General features: G+C 38.7%; 1 protein-coding gene across 54 annotated transcripts in view; it reads right to left on the bottom strand.

The window, feature by feature from the left end:
• The window catches only part of FKTN (fukutin), an 82989-nt gene that overhangs the window by 48388 nt on the left and 10758 nt on the right, over nt 1-23843 (bottom strand). For 13 of the 54 annotated variants that reach the window (NR_147213.2, XM_047422984.1, XM_047422991.1 and 10 more), the window contains exons 2-3: nt 18985-19076; nt 17594-17786 (exon numbers count right to left, since the gene is read on the bottom strand). Coding sequence is in view for 46 of the 54 variants with exons in the window: in XM_047422984.1 (XP_047278940.1) it covers nt 17594-17698 (105 nt within the window). In the remaining 8 variants the exon portion in view is untranslated. Of the gene's footprint in view, nt 1-17593; nt 17787-18028; nt 18534-18984; nt 19077-21833; nt 23413-23843 lie in introns of those variants that run through there. The other 41 variants (NR_147214.2, XM_047422972.1, NM_006731.2 and 38 more) reach the window with 10 other exon arrangements.

Genomic DNA, 23843 nt, shown 5'->3' with positions numbered 1-23843 from the left:
ATTGTGCCCTGGCCCTAGAGATCTGTGAAACTCTGAACTCGAGAGTGATAGTTTAGGGTACCTGGAAGAAGAAATTTCTTTTTTTCTTTTTTTTGAGACAGAGTTCACTCTTGTTGCCCAAGCTGGATTGCAGTGGTATGATCGTGGCTCACTGCAACCTCTGCTATCCAGTTTCAAGCAATTTTCCTGCCTCAGCCTTCTGAGTAGCTAGGATTACAGGCACCCATCACCACACCCAGCTAATTTTTGTATTTTTAGTAGAGACAGGGTTTCACCATATTGGCCAGGCTGATCTCGAACTCCTGACCTTGTGATCCACCCAACTCGGCCTACCAAAGTGCTGAGATTATAGGCATGAGCCACCATGCCCAACCCAGAAGAAATTTCTAAGCAGCAAAGAGTTCAAGATCTGGCCTGGCTGCTTCTAACAACCTATGCTCATATGTGTGAGCAAAGAAATGACATAAAATTGGAACATATTTAATAGGGAAGCAGGGCATACATGTTTGGAAAATTTGCAGCCTGGCCATGTGATAGAAAAGAAAAGTCTATTTTCAGGGGAGGAATTCAAGCAGGCTGCAGAAATTTGCATTCGCCAAGAAAATGGGGACAAGGCTTTGAAGGCATTTCAAAGACCTTGGAGGTAGCCCCTCCCATCACAGGCCTGGAGACGTAGGAGGGAAGAATAGTTTGGTGGGCTACGCCCAGTGCCTGCCACCCTGAGTAGCCTCAAGACACTGCTCCCTGCATTCCAGCTGCTCTAGTTCCAGCCATGGCTCAAGGGGGCACAGGTATAGCTGAGGCTGCTTCAGAGGGTGCAAGCTGTAAGCAGGTGCACACAGTGCAAGAGTTGAGGCTTAAGAGCCTCTGCCTAGATTTCAGAGGATGTATGGAAAAGCCTGGATGTCCAGGCAGAAGCTTGCTGCTAATGGAGCCCTCATGGAGAACTCTACTAGAATAGTGTGGAAGGGAAATGCAGGGTTGAAGCTCCCACAGAGAGCCCCCACTGGGGCACTGCCTACTGGAGCTGTGAGAAGAGGGCCACAGTCCTCCAGACCCCAAAGTGGTAGATCCACCAGTAACCTGCATGGTACACCAGGAAAAGCTGCAGGCACTCAATGTCAGCCCATGAGAGCAGTTGTGGGGGCTGAACCCTGCAAAGCCACAGGGTCTGAGCTGCCCAAGGCCTTGGGAGCCCACCCCCGTGTGCCCTGGACATGAGACATGGAGTCAAATTTTGGGGTTTTAAGACTTAATGAGTAACCTGCTGGGTTTGGGGCTTGCATGGGGCCTGTAGCCCCTTTCTTTTGGCCAATTTCTCCCTTTTGGAACAGGAGTATTTACCCAATGACTATACCCCCATCGAATCTTGGGAGTAACTAACTAATTTTTTATTTTACAGGCTCATAGGTGGAAGGGGCTTGCCTTGTCTCAGATGAGACTTTGAACTATTGAGTTAATGTTGGAATAAGTTAAGACTTTGAAGGACTGTTGGGAAGGCATGATTGTATTTTGCAATGTGAAAGGATCATGAGGTGTGAGGGGCCAGGGGCAGAATAATATGGTTTAGATCTGTGTCCCCACCAAATCTCATGTCAAATTGTAATCCCCAGTGTTGGAAATGGGGCCTGGTGGGAGGTAATTGGATTGTGGGGACAGTTTGTCATGAATGGTTTAGCACCATCCTCTTGGTGCTATTCTTGTGATAGGGAGTGAGTGAGTTCCCCTAAGATCTGGTTGTTTAAAAGTGTGTAGCATCTCCCCACTCTCTCTTTTCCTCCTGCTCTGGCCATGTGAGGTGCGGGCTCCCCCTTCACCTGCTGCCACGATTGTAAGTTTCCTGAGGCCTCCCCAGAAGTTGAGCAGATGCTAGCATCATGCTTCCTCTACAGCCTGCAGAACCATGAGCCAATTAAACCTCTTTTCTTTATAAATTACCCTGCCTCAGATATTTCTTTACAGCAATGAAAGAACAGATTAACATAGCACCTTAAACTTAACACGTACAAAAAAACTCCTGATTTTCACCATTCCTCAAACTTGCTCTTCCCAGTCTCATCCATCTCAGTAAACAGCAATTTGCCATTGCAATTACTTAGGACAAAAATACTAGAGTTATCCTTGACTCGCTTCTGTCACTCTAATACCCTACATCGAATCCATCAACAAATCCTGAATACTGTACTTTCCATTTCTCACCAACTCTACCATCAACTCTCTTGTCCAAATCATTATCATCTCTTGTGTAAATTACTAGAATAGCCTTCTAACTGGTCTCTCTGTGTATTAGTCCATTTTCACGTTGCTGATAAAGACATACCTGAGACTGGGCAACTTACAAAAGAAGTTTAATGAACTCACAGTTCCAAGTAGCTGGGGAGGCCTCACAATCATGGCAGAAGGTGAAAGGTATATCTTACATGGCAGCAGACAAGAGAAAATCAGAATCAAGCAAAAGGAGAAATCATCAGATCTCCCCTTATAAAATCATCAGCTCTCATGAGACTTATTTGCTACCACAAGAACAGTATGGGGGAAGCCACCCCCATGATTCAATTATCTCCCACCAGGTCCCCCCCCAGCACATGGGAATTATGGGAGCTACAATTAAAGATGAGATTTGGGTGGCAACACAGCCAATCTATTCTCATCAAAGTGGCCAGGCTACTTGTTTTAAAACAATAGTCAGATCATGTCCACATAGCTCAAAACCTTCCTGTTTCCCAGTCTCACTCAGGATAAAAGGTCAAAGTCCTTACAACGGCTTACAAGACCCTAAGTAACAGGAAACTCTAACCTTACCTACTATTCTCCCCATCACTCATTTGTCTACAGCCACATTGATCTCTATGCTGTTCTCAAAACTGACAGACATATTCCTGCCGCAGGACTTTTGTATTTTCTTTGTTTTCTACCTAGTATGCTTCACTGTAGACATCAAAATACTCATTCCCTTTGAACAGGCTGTGTCTTCTATTTGTAATGACCTTTCTATCCTTCTTCACCTGAAGAACTCCTCATCCTACAACACCAACTCAAATTATTATTTCATCCATGAAATATTCATTAATAGCCTTCCCAAGTATGTTATTCAGTAGTCTCTCTTCCCTGTAAACCTTATACTTACCTAAGCTTGAAGGGTCAAGGTTAAGGACATTGGAGGGTCCAGTTTTATAGGGCCTGAAGATTATACCATTTTGTTAGTACCCGCCCCCCCCAGTTTTTTTTTGAGATGGAGTCTCATTCTGTCACCCAGGCTGGAGTGCACTGGCGTGATTTTGGCTCACTGCAACCTCCGCCTCCTGGGTTCAAGCGATTCTCGTGCCTCAGCTTCCTGAATAGCTGGGATTACAGGCAGGCATATGCCACAACACCCAGCTAATTTTGGTATTTGGGGTAGAGACAGGGTTTCACCATGTTAGCCAGGCTGGTCTCGAACTCCTGACCTCAGGTGATCCACCCACCTCGGCCTCCAAAAATGCTGGGATTACAAGCATAAGCCACTGTGCCCAGCCGTCGGCCCTTCTTCAGAAAGAATGTAAAAATAACTTTTGCAAATGTTACAAAAATAAATAGCTTTGTAAACAGATTCCTAAGGCCTCTGCAAGTCCCCTGCAAGTGAGGGGCCCTGAAGTTTAAATTTCATTATCTTAACGTTTAATCCGTCTCTGGAGAGCAAGAGTTATTGGCACTCAGTGGCAGCTACAGTGGCTGCAACTGTAGCTATACAGGAAGATGCAGTCACTGTCAACCAATGACCCTACAAGTAGAGAACCAAGAGAATAAATAATCTGACCTCTCTTTCTTTCCAGTTTGCAATCTCCAGCCGTATCCCATTGGCTAAACCCAACAGGAAACCAAAGGGCAAGGGAGCTCAGCTAATATAATCCATAAAGGTCTGCCTCCCCAAGAACAGAGTATGGTAAAGAGAGAATTTGGAGAGCAAACAGTATATCCAGCATGCTATGCTAAGAAGTTTGGTTCTTATTCCATAGGTATACTATGCAGAGAATAACTTGGATCAGATCTGCATCTAAGAAAAATATCTCTGACAACAGTACAGAAGAAAGATTACAAAGGCTAGATACTAGAGAACAGAAAAGTTATGAAGTGTGCTTTGAAAAAAGAGGTAACATGTATTGTTATTGTTTGCTTATATGTCTCTTTATGTTTCTTAACCTCTCTCCCCTTCATCCCCCAAATTTCCCAATTTGTGAGTTCCTAGACATAAGGATTGAACTTCACTGATCATTTGTTTCATAGCCTATTACTGTGCTTGGCACACAGTAAGCTTTCAACAAATACTTGACAAATGAATGGCAGAATGTTCTGAAAGAAATGCCATGTAAAGTCAACTGGTTAAAAAAAAATATTCTGACACACTGCCTATGGGATATTTGGAGTAAAAATTTACGGGAAATGAATAAATGAGTAAACAGATGGAATCAGATGCCAACAACAACTGGTAGGAAAAGTCTGGTAGCAACTGAACTCTAGTGATAACTGGGTCAAATAAAGATATATTATCAAAGAAAAAGCATCCAGAAAGTAGGAGGTGAAGATTTAAGAAAAAATTCTATCATTTTTGAAATGCAGTATCCAACAGTGTTTCTTATAGAAACCCTCAAACCAAATTCCTAATTCAGCATGATCATTAATTATGCTCATATAGAATCAAACAGTAGTACTTTCAGAAAAAATTAAGTCTTCAATAACTGTCTTTTTCAATTGCTTATAAGCTTGCAAACCTAAGGATCAGAAACACTGACCATTGCCAATTCCACAACCCTCCAGATAGCCTTCCACTTCTGCCTCTCAGTGTTTCTCTTTCCAGTAGAAACATTTCTCTTATATTTACTCCCAAGCCACTGCAGTTCTTAGATTTATTAGTGAATCACTCATAAATGTGACCTTAAATGGTAGAAAAGCTGTGATTCTTAATAATCAAAACTGGCCAGAAAACCTACAAACCTACACAGCCTAATGTTTGAGAATAAATGAAAAAATGGAAAGACTATAAAAACACCCTTCAATTCTAATGAAAGAAATTATATCACATTTCTCCTGGATAATAGCAGGAGTGAGAGGGTGATAGAAGAAGTGGGGCAGTAGTATTTATTAAAGTTTACCACATTGGATCAAGCTATCAAATATAATATTCTTCCTCCAGAAATGACCTATATGTTATCCTTGAAGGCAAAATGGAAGAAGCCCAAAAGTGAAAAAAGATAAAGGGAAAATCATATTTCTTGCATAATTTTAGCAAGTAACTAACCAACTAAAAATATTCAAAAGCCTTTGTTGCACATGATCTAAATGGCTACAAGACTGATTTCCATTTCTAATAATGGCATATAAAATTGCTCACTGTGAATGACTACTGCCAAACTTGAAATCCAAACTCCCCTTTCAACTCCCTCCTCCCTCCTTCTAACCAAACATACATAGGCTACTAAATAGAATGCAAAATAAGATATCTCAGCACCCAATTCTATAAGTGGGCTCCTAGATAATACAAACAGCTGATTACTGCAGGCACTGGTGCTGCTCATTGGACTAAGTCAAGAACAATAAAAAGGCTTGGATCACTCAGTGCCTAATACAAACATAGTTCATTGGCTTTGTCTTCCCTCCACATAGGCATCAATATTTGACGATTTTCTGTTGTGCTACGGCATTCCTTAAAGCCATCTCATTTCATATCTTATCACTCATTTCTTTTGAACAAATTTATATTTACATGTTGGAATAGCTGTATGAATAAATACAAGTTTTAGGACCTGATTGGCAATCTTGAACTTAAGAAACTTAACATATCTGGACCCCAGTTAACTTGGTTTATGAAAAAGTAAAAAATATAAGCTTATAGGGACACTATAAGAATTTAATACAATTTTACTTGTCAAACTGCAATGTAAACCTTAAAAGTACTAGAAAATGTAAGCTACTGATAGTTATCATCTACCATGTATCAGACACTAAGTGAGACATATCACATACATTATCTCAACCAGCAATGTTGCCATTAGACCCATTTAAAGAAACTGGTGCTCAAAGTGACTTGCTGAAAGCCAAACAATTGCATGAGGACTATGTAGTGCCCAAACTCAAAAATTATTGATGCTGCCATGTCTATCAAATTATGAGTTTCATGAGTAGGGCCTGTGTTCTATTTATCTCTGTATTCCTAAGTACACTGTGTAAGACGAGTGATCAATAAATACGGATTAAATGAACACACACAATTATCATACTATCCTGTTGGTTGCATAAAAACAGTGAACAATGAAAATTCTCTTCAGGGTCCTAGAAACATGTCCTTTCCATTCTGGTGTGAGCTGCAAGCCAACTACTTGAAAGTTGGCGCCCACAGACAATGCTCACAAGGACACTACACTAAAGGAGTTTGTATATCCAAGACCTGAAGGGTTGTTCTGGAATCTGAAGAGTCAATTCTACCCGTCTATGAAATTTTAGTAGACCCAATAAATATAATATACTAGTTCTTTATCTTCAATGCTAACATGATAACTGGATTATTCAGATCCCATTTGGAGGATCATAGAAAAGCTAGGCTTGTCTAACCAGCTAGGACCAAGAGTAGTTCTGTGCTAAGGCCCTCAAAATGGTCAAAAGTAAGTCTCCTTAAACTCCAAGGTAGCCAGTACTAGAGTGTTCTTTCCTGAAAAGCCTGAAAGCTTTGCAGTCCTTCTTACCATGGTGCTGCAGGCATTTACTGCTACTAAATTTGGGTTGGAATAAAAGATAAAATCAATTTTTCATCCCTATCTCTAACACATAATCTCAAGGGTCTCTGAAAATTACCTTGAAGTTCAAGGATGACTTAGAATCTTGGTTTTTATGTTGATGACGCTAACCTATAATTTCACACTGATCAAGACTATGATTCCATACTCTTTGGCTACCAAATCAAACATTTAATTGAACTATAAGTAATTTTTACATGAATTTATTTATCTAAGCATATCCCACAAAACACTGCTCATTGAACAACAGAGGAATGCAATTCAGATGTAATCGGTAAACAAAGTTAACAATAGTTCAGGTTCTCTTCCTATGTCAGAAGAAAACCATTAGAAAACTGAGGATGCATCTATACTTCACTAAACTTTGAGTTCAAAAACGCTGCGTGTAAGTGAGATTTATAAGTTTAACAAAAACCCAAAAGCTTCAAAATTTTCCACAATGACACTGAAATAAATTTAAAAGTTGGTATCTTTAGCATCTAATTAGTCTAACTATCCTTACTATTTTTATTTTACATATGTACATATTTATTTATTTATTTTTTGAGACAGGGTCTCCCTCTCTTGTCCATCCTGGAGTGCAGATCTTAGCTCACTGTAAACTCAAACTCCTGGGCTCAGAGGGATTCTCTCACCTCAGTGTCCCAAGTAGCTAGGACTACAGGCGTGCACCACCACAACCAGCTAATTTTCTTATTTTTAGCAGAGATGAGATCTTACTATGTTGCCCAGGCTGGTCTTGAATTCCTGGGCTCAAGCGATCCTCTCGCCTAAGCCTCCCAAAGTGCTGGGATTACAGGCAGGCACCTGGTCTCCTTACTATTTTTAAATAAAGCATTTTTTTTTCCTACTGGCATAGAGAAACTGCTTGTATTCCTTACAGACAGTATCCTGTTTTCACACTATAACATACAGGAAGCATCTATACTCTCATCAGCATCTGTCCCAAATTAAATTATAAATATTGGGCAGGAAGAAACCACCTCATTGTTTCTATTGCCTTGGCAAAATACTCTACAAATTGTGACTTTTAAATAACAGTTTCTGAACTCATGAGTAAATTTAAAAATTCCATTTTAAAGGATACAATTACTGGGCTACAAACGGTTTAATATAATTTCCATATGTTAAAAAAAAAAAATTTTAAGACACGATCTCCCCGTCACCCAGGCTGGAGTGCAGTGGCGCAATGACAGCTCACTGCAGCCTTGAATCTCCCAAGCTCAAGTGATCCTCTCACCTCAGCCTCTTGAATAGCTGGGACTACAGGCACACGCCACCATGCTGGGCTAATATTTGTATTTTTTGTAGAAATGGGGTTTTGCCATGGTGCCATGGCTGGTTTCAAACTCTTGGGCTCAAGCAATCTGCACACCTCAGTGTCCCCAAATTCTGGGACTACAGGTGTGAGCCACTGCACCCACTCCATATATTTCAATAAAATAAAAATAATCTGTGATATTTTAGAACTTAGATGTTATAATGTCTACCTATTATCAAAAGTAAACATAAAAAACAAGAATCTAGTATGAATAATGAACTTTACAAAATTAATGGTATATAAAGGTTACCTGAACTTTAATTACATACCACTTCTGTTCAAAGATTATATTTTCTTTAATGAATAAGGCATTATTACTAAGGCAGTTTGTATGGTATGGACACAATACAACAAATACTATTTTTCATTATAAAATTAAAAAATAATAATAATAGCCAATTTTTACTGGTTTCTTTCTGTATAACATGCATTGTTCCAAATAGTTTATGTATATCAATTCATTTAAGCTTCACAAGTCTATGAGGTGGTACTGTTATTGCCTCCCATTTTGTAGATAAGGAAACAAAGGCATTTAGAAGTCAAGTAATTAACTCAAGATCCCACAGCTAATAAGCAGTATAGATGAGGTTTAATCTCAAACTGATGTTCATGCTCTCAACAACTATGTTACACTGCCACCAAGGGAAAAGGGTTGAGACAGCAGTTCTTTATTAGAATTTAATATATAATTAAGATGGGATTTTTAAAGTAATGGGTAATTCAATAAGGGATATTGGGACAATTGGTTAATCATTGTGGAAAAATGTAAGTTAGATGTCTAATTCATACCTCATACTAAAATAAATTCATTTTAGTGAAAAAATTTAAACATTAAATAGACAAAAATACAGTTAAATATTCCCATAATCTTGGGCTACTTATAACATAAAAAACAGATGCCCTAAGGAAAACAGATTTTGACATCTGTCTATTTATACATTAAGTACTAATTTATTGAGGGAGTACATCATGAATATAAAGTTAAAAGGCAAATTACAAGTCAGGAAAAATATTTGAAATATATATGATGAAGGTTTAATATTCTTCAAACTATAAAGAACAGCTACAGAAAAAGACAACATCATCAGGAACATATATGAAAGACACAAATAAGAAGAAGTAAGAATACAACTAAAAAGAACCAATATACATATGGAAAGATGTTTAACCCCACTAGTAATCAAAGAAACGACCTCTAATGGAGTTGAATAGCTTTCAGTTTCTGAATATTACGAACACTAAAAATTAATGAATGAGGTTTTGGGGTAGACTCCTCAGGTTCATCTCCCCCACTTAATAACTATGTGATATTGGGAAAATTAGTAAGTCTCTCAAAACCTCAATGTTTTTGCTGGAAAAACAGGAAGAACAAGATCTACTCAACTTGTTTTAAGAATTAAATGTTGGTAAAGTGCTTCGCATAGGGCCTGCTCAATCAAGCACATCAAAAAATGTTAGCTGCTATGGCAGGCACTATAGGTAAGCTGACCTGACACCCATTCCCAAACCCCTTCTCTTTTGCAATCTCTATTATAGAGGCTAGAAAAGCTAAATAACAATAGTAAAACCTTACTTCCCCAGATTCTCTTATATTTGGGAATCTGCTGGCCACTGTCACAAAACTAGAAGCCTGCTAGATCACACTATTATTCCTTCTAGCCTTGACTGTAACACAGGAAATACCAAGAGAATTTTAGAGGCTCTAGACTTATAGATATGGACAGATAATTCCTCTATTTGTTTAAGCTACTATTAGCCAGCCATCTCTAACTGAAACAGATGCCATTATTATTGTTATTCCTATTTATGAAAAGATATGAGAAATCAGGTATACTGCTTATCCTTATGAAGGATAACTTTGTAATATATAACAAAAATCTAAAATGTGCATATTAGATCTAGAATTTCTACTCTAGGACTTTATCCTAAGAAAATAATGAGGAAAGGGTTGAAGATGTCACAGAAAGACATTCATTGGATAAACAGCCAAGATCAAAAGTAGAATCAGTATAGTCTGTTATTTTTAAAATTATATAGCCTGGAAAAAATGGAGCTAGGGACATTAGAGGTCAGCTATACACATTAGATATTGGGTGGTTTGTATGGGTAAATTATTTCACATCTCTGTTAACAATTTTGGTTTTCCAGGCCAGTTGCAGTAGCCCATACTTGTAATCCCAGCACTTTGGGAGCCTGAGGTGACAGAACTGCCTGAGGCCAGGAGTTCAAGACCAGCCTGGGCAACACAGCGAGACCCCGTCTCTACAAAAAATTTTTTTTAATTAGTCAGGCGTGATGGCATGTGCCTGTAGTCCTCCTAACAACTCAGGAGATTGAGGCAGGAGTACTGCTTGAGCCCCAGATTCAAGGTTACAGTGAGCTATGATTATGCCACTGTACTTCAGCCTGGGTGACGAAGCGAGATCCTCTCTTAAAAAAAGAAAAGTTTCGGGTAGGAGCCAAGATGGCCGAATAGGAACAGCTCCGGTCTACAGCTCCCAGCATGAGCGACGCAGAAGACGGGTGATTTCTGCATTTCCATCTGAGGTACCGGGTTCATCTCACTAGGGAGTGCCAGACAGTGGGCGCAGGCTAGTGGGTGCGCGCACCGTGCGCGAGCCGAAGCAGGGCGAGGCATTGCCTCACCTGGGAAGCGCAAGGTGTCAGGGAGTTCCCTTTCTGAGTCAAAGAAAGGGGTGACGGACACACCTGGAAAATCGGGTCACTCCCACCCGAATATTGCGCTTTTCAGACCGGCTTAAAAAACAGTGCACCACGAGACTATATCCCACACCTGGCTCGGAGGGTCCTACGCCCACGGAATCTCGCTGATTGCTAGCCCAGCAGTCTGAGATCAAACTGCAAGGCGGCAGCGAGGCTGGGGGAGGGGCGCCCGCCATTGCCCAGGCTTGCTTAGGTAAACAAAGCAGCCGGGAAGCTCGAACTGCATGGAGCCCACCACAGTTCAAGGAGGCCTGCCTGCCTCTGTAGGCTCCACCTCTGGGGGCAGGGCACAGACAAACAAAAAGACAGCAGTAACCTCTGCAGACTTCAATGTCCCTGTCTGACAGCTTTGAAGAGAGCAGTGGTTCTCCCAGCACGCAGCTGGAGATCTGAGAACCGGCAGACTGCCTCCTCAAGTGGGTCCCTGACCCCTGACCCCCGAGCAGCCTAACTGGGAGGCACCCCGCAGCAGGGGCACACTGACACCTCACAAGGCAGGGTACTCCAACAGACCTGCAGCTGAGGGTCCTGTCTGTTAGAAGGAAAACTAACAAACAGAAAGGACATCCACACCGAAAACCCATCTGTACATCACCATCATCAAAGACCAAAAGTAGATAAAACCACAAAGATGGGGAAAAAACAGAACAGAAAAACTGGAAACTCTAAAACGCAGAGCGCCTCTCCTCCTACAAAGGAACGCAGTTCCTCACCAGCAACGGAACAAAGCTGGATGGAGAATGACTTTGACGAGCTGAGAGAAGAAGGCTTCAGACGATCAAATTACTCTGAGCTACGGGAGGACATTCAAACCAAAGGCAAAGAAGTTAAAAACTTTGAAAAAAATTGAGAAGAATGTATAACTAGAATAACCAATACAGAGAAGTACTTAAAGGAGCTGATGGAGCTGAAAACCAAGGCTCGAGAACTACGTGAAGAATGCAGAAGCCTCAGGAGCCGATGCGATCAACTGGAAGAAAGGGTATCAGCAATGGAAGATGAAATGAATGAAATGAAGCGAGAAGGGAAGTTTAGAGAAAAAAGAATAAAAAGAAATGAGCAAAGCCTCCAAGAAATATGGGACTATGTGAAAAGACCAAATCTACGTCTGATTGGTGTACCTGAAAGTGATGGGGAGAATGGAACCAAGTTGGAAAACACTCTGCAGGATATTATCCAGGAGAACTTCCCCAATCTAGCAAGGCAGGCCAACGTTCAGATTCAGGAAATACAGAGAACGCCACAAAGATACTCCTCGAGAAGAGCAACTCCAAGACACATAATTGTCAGATTCACCAAAGTTGAAATGAAGGAAAAAATGTTAAGGGCAGCCAGAGAGAAAGGTCGGGTTACCCTCAAAGGGAAGCCCATCAGACTAACAGCGGATCTCTTGGCAGAAACCCTACAAGCCAGAAGAGAGTGGGGGCCAATATTCAACATTCTTAAAGAAAAGAATTTTCAACCCAGAATTTCATATCCAGCCAAACTAAGCTTCATAAGTGAAGGAGAAATTAAATACTTTACAGACAAGCAAATGCTGAGAGATTTTGTCACCACCAGGCCTGCCCTAAAAGAGCTCCTGAAGGAAGCACTAAACATGGAAAGGAACAACCGGTACCAGCTGCTGCAAAATCATGCCAAAATGTAAAGACCGTCGAGACTAGGAAGAAACTGCGTCAACTAACGAGGAAAATCAGCAGCTAACATCATAATGACAGGATCAAATTCACACATAACAATATTAACTTTAAATGTAAATGGACTAAATTCTCCAATTAAAAGACACAGACTGGCAAATTGGATAAAGAGTCAAGACCCACCAGTATGCTGTATTCAGGAAACCCATCTCACGTGCAGAGACACACATAGGCTCAAAATAAAAGGATGGAGGAAGATCTACCAAGCAAATGGAAAACAAAAAAAGGCAGGGGTTGCAATCCTAGTTTCTGATAAAACAGACTTTAAACCAACAAAGATCAAAAGAGACAAAGAAGGCCATTACATAATGGTAAAGGGATCAATTCAACAAGAAGAGCTAACTAGCCTAAATATATATGCACCCAATACAGGAGCACCCAGATTCATAAAGCAAGTCCTGTGTGACCTACAAAGAGACTTAGACTCCCACACATTAATAATGGGAGACTTTAACACCCCACTGTCAACATTAGACAGATCAACGAGACAGAAAGTCAACAAGGATACCCAGGAATTGAACTCAGCTCTGCACCAAGCGGACCTAATAGACATCTACAGAACTCTCCACCCCAAATCAACAGAATATACATTTTTTTCAGCACCACACCACACCTATTCCAAAATTGACCACATACTTGGAAGTAAAGCTCTCCTCAGCAAATGTAAAAGAACACAAATTATAACAAACTATCTCTCAGACCACAGTGCAATCAAACTAGAACTCAGGATTAAGAAACTCACTCAAAGCCGCTCAACTACATGGAAACTGAACAACCTGCTCCTGAATGACTACTGGGTACATAACGAAATGAAGGCAGAAATAAAGATGTTCTTTGAAACCAACGAGAACAAAGACACGACATACCAGAATCTCTGGGACATGTTTAAAGCAATGTGTAGAGGGAAATTTATAGCACTAAATGCCCACAAGAGAAAGCAGGAAAGATCTAAAATTGACACCCTAACATCACAATTAAGAGAACTAGAGAAGCAAGAGCAAACACATTCAAAAGCTAACAGAAGGCAAGAAATAACTAAGATCAGAGCAGAACTGCAGGAGATACAGACACAAAAAACCATTCAAAAAATCAATGAATCCAGGAGCTGGTTTTTTGAAAAGGTCAACAAAATTGATAGACCACTAGCAAGACTAATAAAGAAGAAAAGAGAGAAGAATGAAATAGACGCAATAAAAAACGATAAAGGGGATATCACCACCGATCCCACTGAAATACAAACTACCATCAGAGAATAAACACCTCTACACAAATAAACTAGAAAATCTAGAAGAAATGGATAAATTCCTTGACACATACACTCTCCCAAGACTAAACCAGGAAGAAGTTGAATCTCTGAATAGACCAATAACAGGCTCTGAAATTGAGGCAATAATTAATAGCTTACCAACCAAAAAAAGTCCAGGACCAGATGGATTCACAGCCGAATTCTACCAGAGGTACAAGGAGGAGCTGGTACCATTCCTTCTGAAACTATTCCAATCAATAGAAAAAGAGGGAATCCTCCCTAACTCATTTTATGAGGCCAGCATCATTCTGATACCAAAGCCGGGCAGAGACTCAACAAAAAAAGAGAATTTTAGACCAATATTCTTGATGAACATTGATGCAAAAATCCTCAATAAAATACTGGCAAACCGAATCCAGCAGCACATCAAAAAGCTTATCCACCATGATCAAGTGGGCTTCATCCCTGGGATGCAAGGCTGGTTCAATATACGCAAATCAATAAATGTAATCCAGCATATAAACAGAGCCAAAGACAAAAACCACATGATTATCTCAATAGATGCAGAAAAAGCCTTTGACAAAATTCAACAACCCTTCATGCTAAAAACTCTCAATAAATTAGGTATTGATGGGACGTATTTCAAAATGATAAGAGCTATCTATGACAAACCCACAGCCAATATCATACTGAATGGGCAAAAACTGGAAGCATTCCCTTTGAAAACTGGCACAAGACAGGGATGTCCTCTCTCACCACTCCTATTCAACATAGTGTTGGAAGTTCTGGCCAGGGCAATTAGGCAGGAGAAGGAAATAAAGGGTATTCAATTAGGAAAAGAGGAAGTCAAACTGTCCCTGTTTGCAGACGACATGATTGTATATCTAGAAAACCCCATTGTCTCAGCCTAAAATCTCCTTAAGCTGATAAGCAACTTCAGCAAAGTCTCAAGATACAAAATCAATGTGCAAAAATCACAAGCATTCTTATACACCAACAACACACAAACAGAGAGCCAAATCATAAGTGAACTCCTATTCATAATTGCTTCAAAGAGAATAAAATACCTAGGAATCCAACTTACAAGGGATGTGAAGGACCTCTTCAAGGAGAACTACAAACCACTGCTCAAGGAAATAAAAGAGGATACAAACAAATGGAAGAACATTCCATGCTCATGGGTAGGAAGAATCAATATTGTGAAAATGGCCATACTGCCCAAGGTAATTTACAGATTCAATGCCATCCCCATCAAGCTACCAATGACTTTCTTCACAGAATTCGAAAAAACTACTTTAAAGTTCATAGGGAACCAAAAAAGAGCCCGCATCGCCAAGTCAATCCTAAGCCAAAAGAACAAAGCTGGAGGCATCACGCTACCTGACTTCAAACTATACTACAAGGCTACAGTAACCAAAACAGCATGGTACTGGTACCAAAACAGAGATATAGATCAATGGAACAGAACAGAGCCCTCAGAAATAATGCCGCATACCTACAACTATCTGATCTTTGACAAACCTGAGAAAAACAAGAAATGGGGAAAGGATTCCCTATTTAATAAATGGTGCTGGGAAAACTGGCTAGCCATATGTAGAAAGCTGAAACTGGATCCCTTCCTTACACCTTATACAAAAATCAATTCAAGATGGATTAAAGATTTAAACGTTAGACCTAAAACCATAAAAACCCTAGAAGAAAACCTAGGCATTACCATTCAGGACATAGGCATGGGCAAGGACTTCATGTCCAAAACACCAAAAGCAATAGCAACAAAAGACAAAATTGACAAATGGGATCTAATTAAAATAAAGAGCTTCTGCACAGCAAAAGAAACTACCATCAGAGTGAACAGGCAACCTACAAAATGGGAGAAAATTTTTGCAACCTACTCATCTGACAAAGGGCTAATATCCAGAATCTACAATGAACTCAAACAAATTTACAAGAAAAAAACAAACCACCCCATCAAAAAGTGGGCGAAGGACATGAACAGACACTTCTCAAAAGAAGACATTTATGCAGCCAAAAGACACATGAAAAAATGCTCATCATCACTGGCCATCAGAGAAATGCAAATCAAAACCACAATGAGATACCATCTCACACCAGTTAGAATGGCAATCATTAAAAAGTCAGGAAACAACAGGTGCTGGAGAGGATGTGGAGAAACAGGAACACTTTTACACTGTTGGTGGGACTGTAAACTAGTTCAACCATTGTGGAAGTCAGTGTGGCGATTCCTCAGGGATCTAGAACTAGAAATACCATTTGACCCAGCCATCCCATTACTGGGTATATACCCAAATGACTATAAATCATGCTGCTATAAAGACACATGCACACGTATGTTTATTGCGGCATTATTCACAATAGCAAAGACTTGGAACCAACCCAAATGTCCAACAATGATAGACTGGATTAAGAAAATGTGGCACATATACACCATGGAATACTATGCAGCCATAAAAAATGATGAGTTCACGTCCTTTGTAGGGACATGGATGAAATTGGAAATCATCATTCTCAGTAAACTATCGTAAGAACAAAAAACCAAACACCGCATATTCTCACTCATAGGTGGGAAATGAACAATGAGATCACATGGACACAGGAAGGGGAATATCACACTCTGGGGACTGTTGTGGGGTGGTGGGAGTGGGGAGGGATAGCATTGGGAGATATACCTAATGCTAGATGACGAGTTAGTGGGTGCAGCACACCAGCACGGCAAATGTATACATATGTAACTAACCTGCACAATGTGCAAATGTACCCTAAAACTTAAAGTATAATAAAAAAAATAAATTAATTAAAAAAAAAAAAAAAAGAAAAGTTTCAGTTTTCTTATCTGTCAAAATTAGGTCTAATAACTCCATGTAACAATGCTGCATAATAAACTTCCCCCAGTCTTATGGCTTATAAGCATCTATTTCCTCCCTCACAAATCTGTGAGTCAGCTGGGCAGCTATGCTTTGGTCTGCTCCATACATTTTTCTCTTCTCCTATAGGTCAGGGGAGCATAAAAACTAAGTCAAATCACAACAGCCTATTCAAAGCTTCTGCACATGTCTGTTAACATTCTACTGGTCAAGCCCAACATAAAAAAGGCAGGGAAGTATACTCCATTCTAGTTGAGGAGGGGCGCAAAGTGATTAATTCTGATGAATAGTTCTAATTAAGACATGAGGATAAAAACATAAAAACAAAAAAAATTTTTTTTCTTCCCCATGATTGTTTTTAGGACTAAACTGAGCATGGAAAGCATCTAGTACAATTATCAGTGATGGTAGTAATTATTATAATACACCCCAGAGGGAGTGTTTGGCAACTTTTCACAATGTAACAACACCATCTCAACTTTGGAATTCCTTATCTGGTATATTCTACGGAATCTTCAGAAGCTATTGATTTCCACATCATTGTCTCTACTTTATTCCTATACATACAGATAAAGGTAAGTCATACCATTATACTTCCCCAGTAGGTACTAAATTAAAATATATGCTGTACTAAAATAAACTAATTTTGACATTTTATCAAAATTATTTATCATTGAGTTCATTTAAATGAAGGATAATCTGTTTAACAAAATAATAATTTTTAAATAACTAGCTCAGGAAATTCCAATAGATTAAACATCCTTGAAACTTAGCACCTGTCTTTAGTGTGCTATTACAAGTATATTTAACTGAATTTTTAATTGTTTGCCACACCTCGCAAAGATGCAAGAATTTGAATACCCATGATTAATATTATGTATTGCAAAGAGAAGTGTGATCAGAAAATATACAATGATAAGAAAGGAGGAATGATAAGAAAGAAGGAATAAAATTACCTTTGTTGATAAATAGTGCTTGTAGTAGTACAACTGAAACAGCAGAAATGCAGAACTTGTCAGCGTTAAAAGGGCCAAAACCACGTTCTTATTGATTCTACTCATTAGTCTGTGCTGCTCACTTGGTTGTCTTTTGAAAGTATCTCAGTCGTTTTCATCTTTTTGGATTTGGAAAGGAAGATAATTTTGTTTTCTGTGAACAAAAAAGATATTTTTAAAGAAACAAAAACCTCTTTAATTTTGTACCTGTAATAACCAACAATAGAACAAAGAAAAAATTAAATTTCCACAGGCATTCTTTGATCTGGTCATTGTCTATGCTAAAGAAATAATCAAATATGAGACCAATGATGAAAAAACAAAAATGTTTATTATCACTTTTTTTTATAACTGTAAATAACTGAAAACATAAATAGGATATTTATAAAAACTGACCAACAAGGTTGAGAGGTGCTTTTCTCCTCCAGTTTCTGATTCAGTAAATCCGGTATGAGACCTCAGAATTTTCATTTCTGACAAGTTCCCAAATGATGCTGGTGCTGCTGACAATGCTGAGAACCACTTCCAAAGGAGAAACTGAGACCGTTTTTAGTCAAGGAACATGGCCTGTAAGACAGCTCTTTGTTGCTTTTCAAGTTTGTGTGTGATCTAGGATGTGGTCAGTTTTTATTTATACTCCATGTATGTTTTCAGTTTTTTCAACTGTAAAGAATGCCACAATAAACATTTTGTTCTTTCATCTTAGGTCTCATCTCTGATTATTCCTTTAGGATAAGAAATTTAATACAGTTCTACTTCTTCCTACCTTGTCTCCACTGTTTGATTTTGGTTAAACACATTTAGTTCTTCAAATGCTTACATTTATTCCTTCAATCCTTCAAATATACTGACACCTCTCTTATGCTTGATATCTAAGGTTTATATGTCTTTTGTTCTCCAGCTATAAAATAAGAAGAAACCAACAAATTTATACTACATTCTGTCTTCTCTCCTCTTTCAATCTTGACTTTTATTAATTATTTCTACATGTTACAGTTCTATTGTATTCTATAACTACAAATCTCATAGTTATTTTGGTCTTATTCCTACAATGTTCCCTGCCAATCCATTTGCTATATCATCTCTGTTCATCTACTGTATGACTGATATTCATCTTCTTGCAGTTTATCAAAAAGAACTTAGGGGTACCACTTACCTTGAGCTTTTGCCTTGTTCAAAAATAGTTGTCAATTTGGCTTTGAGGTTACACTGTCTTTCCCCAATGACTTACACACTTTGTACCATTGTCCTGTAGTGCTAAATATTCCCTTGACAATATCTGATTTCCCAAACCAACTCCTGATAGGTAATTTAATCTTTTTATTGGGATGAGCAAAGAATGCATTCCTTACCTTTGAAATCCAATTTTTTTAAAAACTAGGTTATACAAGGATGTTGATGACCGTATGTTAGTTTTTCCTCATTCAGTGTGTTTCCTTTCAATCTGTAGAATAAAGATTTTTTTTTTTTTGAGACAGGGTCTCACTTTGTCGTCCAGGCTGAAGTATAATGGTGCAATCATAGCTCATTGTAACCCGAAACTCCCACACTTAAGTGATCTTCCTATCTCAGCCTCCTGAGTAGCCATGAGTAAAAGTATGTGCCACCATGCCCAGCTAATTTTTTAAAAATTTATTTGTAAAGACAGGGTCTTGCTATGTTGCCCAAGCTGGTCTTAAACTCCCAGCCTCAAGAGAACCTCCTGCCTTAGCCTCCCAAAGTGCTGGAATTACAGGTGTGAGCTACTACTGAGCCTGACCTAAAGATGTCTTTTCTTTGCAGAAGGTTTTCTTAAATATTTTTTCTGTTATAACATTGAATTCTCTATTTTCAGAACTACAATTAAGCATTTTTTTTTTTGAGACAGAGTCTCCCTCTGTCACTCAGGCTGGATGGAGTGCAGTGGCACGATCTCAGTTCACTGCAACCTTCACCTCCTGGGTTCAAGCAATTCTCCTATCTCAGCCTCCCGAGTAACTGGGATTACAGGTGCCTGCCACCACACTCGGCTAATTTTTGTATATTTAGTTTAGACGGGGTTTTTCTGTGGTGGTCAGGCTGGTCACGAACTCCTCACCTCAAGCAACCCACCTGCCTCAGCCTCCCAAAGTGCTGGGATTACAGGCATGAGCCACGGCACCCAGTCCTCATCTACTTTTCTAAACGGGAATATAATTTACGCCTTAACTATGGAAGAAAGAAATAAGGGTGTATTCTAGACTAGAGGGTAGTCTCTGGTATACAAGAAAACTCTTTCTGACAGAGTATTTTGTACATGTGTATATGTGAGAAAGGCAGAGAATGTGTATGAGAACAAGTGGGAAAAGCATTTAAACATTACTTCTTCCAGATGTCAGAGACAGGCAGCAAAGGGCCACTCACTATCTCTCCTCTACTTTGCCTCAGCAAGAGAGTGCTTCCTGCAAAGATGGGGTATCTGTGCACTTCCTCATTCACTCTTCCTTTCTTGCTAGTTCATGTTGCCAAACAATCCAAGGAAATTCCCATTGCCTTTCTATGCATCCTGATCCCACTGCAAACAGAAGAGGACTCTTTGCTCTGCCAGCTCTATCTGAGATCTCTTTCTACCAGCATTCTCTTTTAACCTCTTCCTGCTTACATGTGGCTGCCATTTCTCAAATATTTCAGTTTGGAGTTACAGGTCTTCTAGTCTCAGCAAAGATGTAATTACATCTCTTTCTCTCAGTTTCCTTGTTGTTTCATGGTAATTTCAGATAGAATAGGGCACAAATGTCTTTACCATCTTAAAATCAAGTCTTGGTTTGGGGTTTTAAAACAATCCAAATGAGCTGCCAGAGCTGATGACTATATAAAGCAAACACTAAAATATATATATATATATATATACAGTCTCAAGAAACTACTTAAGAGAAATAATACCAATAGTGATGTGAACAATTCACCTGATCAGTAATGTATATTAAGCAAAGATAACCTAATAAATCATAATTATTTTGTATCTCCCAAAACTGTGAAAACAATATCAATCAACATTGATGATGGTATTAGTTTTTGTATTCAGTTAAAACCCATGGAAATACAATTATCAAATAGAGGTTTAGTATCCCTTATCCAAAATGCTTGGGACCAAAAGTATTTTGGACTTCTTAGGATTCCAGAATATTTGGATTACACTTACCAGTTGAACATCCCTAATCCAAAATTCTGAAATGCTCCAATGAACATTCCTTTCAGCATCATATTAGCACGCAAAAGTTGCAGATTTTGGAGCATTTCAGATTTTGAATTTTCAGATTTGGGATGCTCAACCTATACTCTGATGAGGGCAGCTCACAAGATTAACAAGGAGACTGCCCTTCATTTTCAAGATTTCAACTCAAGTTCTTGTACTTGTATTAAACAGTGCATTAATGTATTCTATGCTGATTCCTAGTGAAATCTAAAGTGGCACTCAGAGTAGGCCATAACTCAGCTTCTTCTAAGCCCAAATTAATAAATGGGAAAGAACACATAATAGGCCTGCCTATATAAGCTACTACAGGCATAAAATCTAAATTAATATCTTGTTCTTTCTTCTCTAGTTTACAACTAATTCTTATAAAATAAACCTCCAAACCATAATATCAAAAACTTAATTACATTTTTATTATCAAGATGATATCCAATTAACTTCATTATTTATTTTCTATAAATGCCAAGGCAATTCAGTCACAAAAGAGAAAGATTCGCCTATCAAAATGTTCCTTTTCACTAGCACTACCGCTTCATTAGGAATATTCAGTAACCACTTAAAAATGAATAATGTGACACTGAAAAAAAGAAGCCATAGTATGTTGATTTTACCTTTAAAATACCTCTTGCATCAATTCCTTCCTTCTTCACTGTCATTCTAAACTCTAATTGTACCTAATGTCCTAATTTTAACTGATGTCCCTGTCTCCACTTTCTCTGTATCCACAATCTTACCTATACACTGACAGATGTATCAAGTTGCTGACAGATAAATCAAGTTACACCACAATCAAAACTTTTCAATAGTTCCCTACCACCTACAAATAGTTCAAATTACATATAATGGTATAAAGGGGTATTCACAATCTGACTGAATACAGGCAAATTTACTATAAGCTTTCTCACACTTCACATAGTCTATGGTTTTTGCATGAGTATTCCTGGAATACATCCTACACTTTCCTGCCTCTGTGTTTTTGCCCATTACCTCTTGTCTGCAATGTTCTCATTTACTTCCATAAAACCAGTTTACTTTCTTTTCATAGCTCCTCTCAAATGACACTTCTTCAAGGAAGTCTTCAATATTCTTCCAGGTTAGAAGTGCTCCCTCCACCTCCAACCTAGTTTTACCTTCCTGCAACAAATAAACAGTTACTGTCTACCTTAATGGGCACAGATGCCAAAAAAAAATGCTAAGCACTAGAGATAAAATGACAAATAAGATACACTTCCCTAATTTTGAAGGGCTTAAAGGTGAGTACAGGAGTTTTCAAAAGAAGAAGGGCAGTAGTGATAGTGGTGGAGAGAGTGATGTACCTGAAAAAGAATATGAGAAGATGTTTTCCAAAATGCGCAAGCCCCATTCCTTACCACCCCCACATCAATTAAGAACCACTGTTCTAGTTTATGATGGACTCTATCAGAGATAAATATAGAGGCAATAACAATACAGTATAGTTGCAATGAAGGAATAAGCACGGGTTACTATGGAAGCACAAGGAGAGGCAACTAACCTTGAGGCTTTTACTAGTTTCTATTTTGCATTATAACTGTTAGTGTACATGAATCATCTTCCCCACCAGCCTAAAATTGGCTGAATTAACATCAAGTAATAGTAAGTATGCTAAGTATACTAAAAATACACTGCACAATGCTCAAGAAAACAGAAAACTATTTAAATAAAACTTTTCTGTTCTGCAGGAACTTTTACAATAAAACAGAATTTGAAATATAAAAAAAAAAGATTTTTAAAAGAGTTTAAAGCCCCTTAAACTCACATATCTGGTTCCAACCTTCAAAAAATAAACGTTTAAAAATATAAAAAATAACCTATAGAGAGATATGGCATAGAACTAAAACAAAAATATTGTTTCTATATACACTTCTTTTTATATGTTACATTTTAGCTATCATAATAAAAACACTAGGGAGGATAGCATTCATTTCCTTACTTACACTTAGGTAAAGTTTCCTAAAGAAGACAGCATATCATCTCTAATGGAAAAGAAAAGAAAAAGTATTGCAGAGATAGTAAATTAAAATGAGGCAGTGGTTGGGAGAGAAATGACAAATGTTTTCAGGGAAAAAAAAGATGTAACGAGGGGAGTTACGAAGTTTAAGTAGCCCAATAATCTTAAAGTTCTAATGCAAATATGAGAAGATTAATATATAATTATGGTATATTGCGACACAGAATTATTCTTAGATGAAGTGGAAGCAGGGCATAACTAGTGCATGAACTGAGATCTGGCAATGAAGAAGAAAGAAATGGGCAGATCTGCTTACCAACTAAATCATGAATGGGTTATAGGTGTCAGAGTTAACAATCCTCTCAGTCTTTGGGGCAGCTAGACCCCAAGAGTAGGTCATCTCCAGCCAAGAACACATTCTTTTATGTTTCCTTTCATCTTTTCTTGGTCAAATTTACTATGTGTCAAGATGTGAAAAGGCTTGGAAAAAAACTAGTAGTAGATAAAACCCATACACAACTGTGATGAAAAAAGGTACAGGATTTGGAGTTCAAGATAATTCTCAGGCTCTTTCTACAGTGAAGAGCAGCACTGCATATTCTTTTTTATTTACTTATTTTTTTTATTATTATATTTTAAGCTCTAGGGTACATGTGCACAACATGCAGGTTTGTTACATATGTATACATGTGCCATGTTGGTGTGCTGTACCCATTAACTCATCATTTACATTAGGTATATCTACCAATGCTACGCCTCCCCCTTGCTCCCATCCCACAACAGGCCCCGGTGTGTGATGTCCCCCTTCCTGTGACCAAGTGTTCTCATTGTTCAGTTCCCACCTATGAGTGAGAACATGCGATGTTTGGTTTTCTGTCCTTGAGATAGTTTGCTGAGAATGATGGTTTCCAGCTTCATCCATGTCCCTACAAAGGACATGAACTCATCCTTTTTTATGGCTGCATAATATTTCATGGTGTATATGTGCCACATTTTCTTAATCCGGTCTATCACTGATGGACATCTGG

The sequence above is a fragment of the Homo sapiens genome, chromosome 9 (genome assembly GCF_000001405.40).
Source record: "Homo sapiens chromosome 9, GRCh38.p14 Primary Assembly".
NCBI classification, from domain to species: domain Eukaryota; kingdom Metazoa; phylum Chordata; class Mammalia; order Primates; family Hominidae; genus Homo; species Homo sapiens.
The sequence above is the reverse complement of the archived record's forward strand: the minus strand, read 5'-3'. Positions and strand labels throughout refer to the sequence as shown.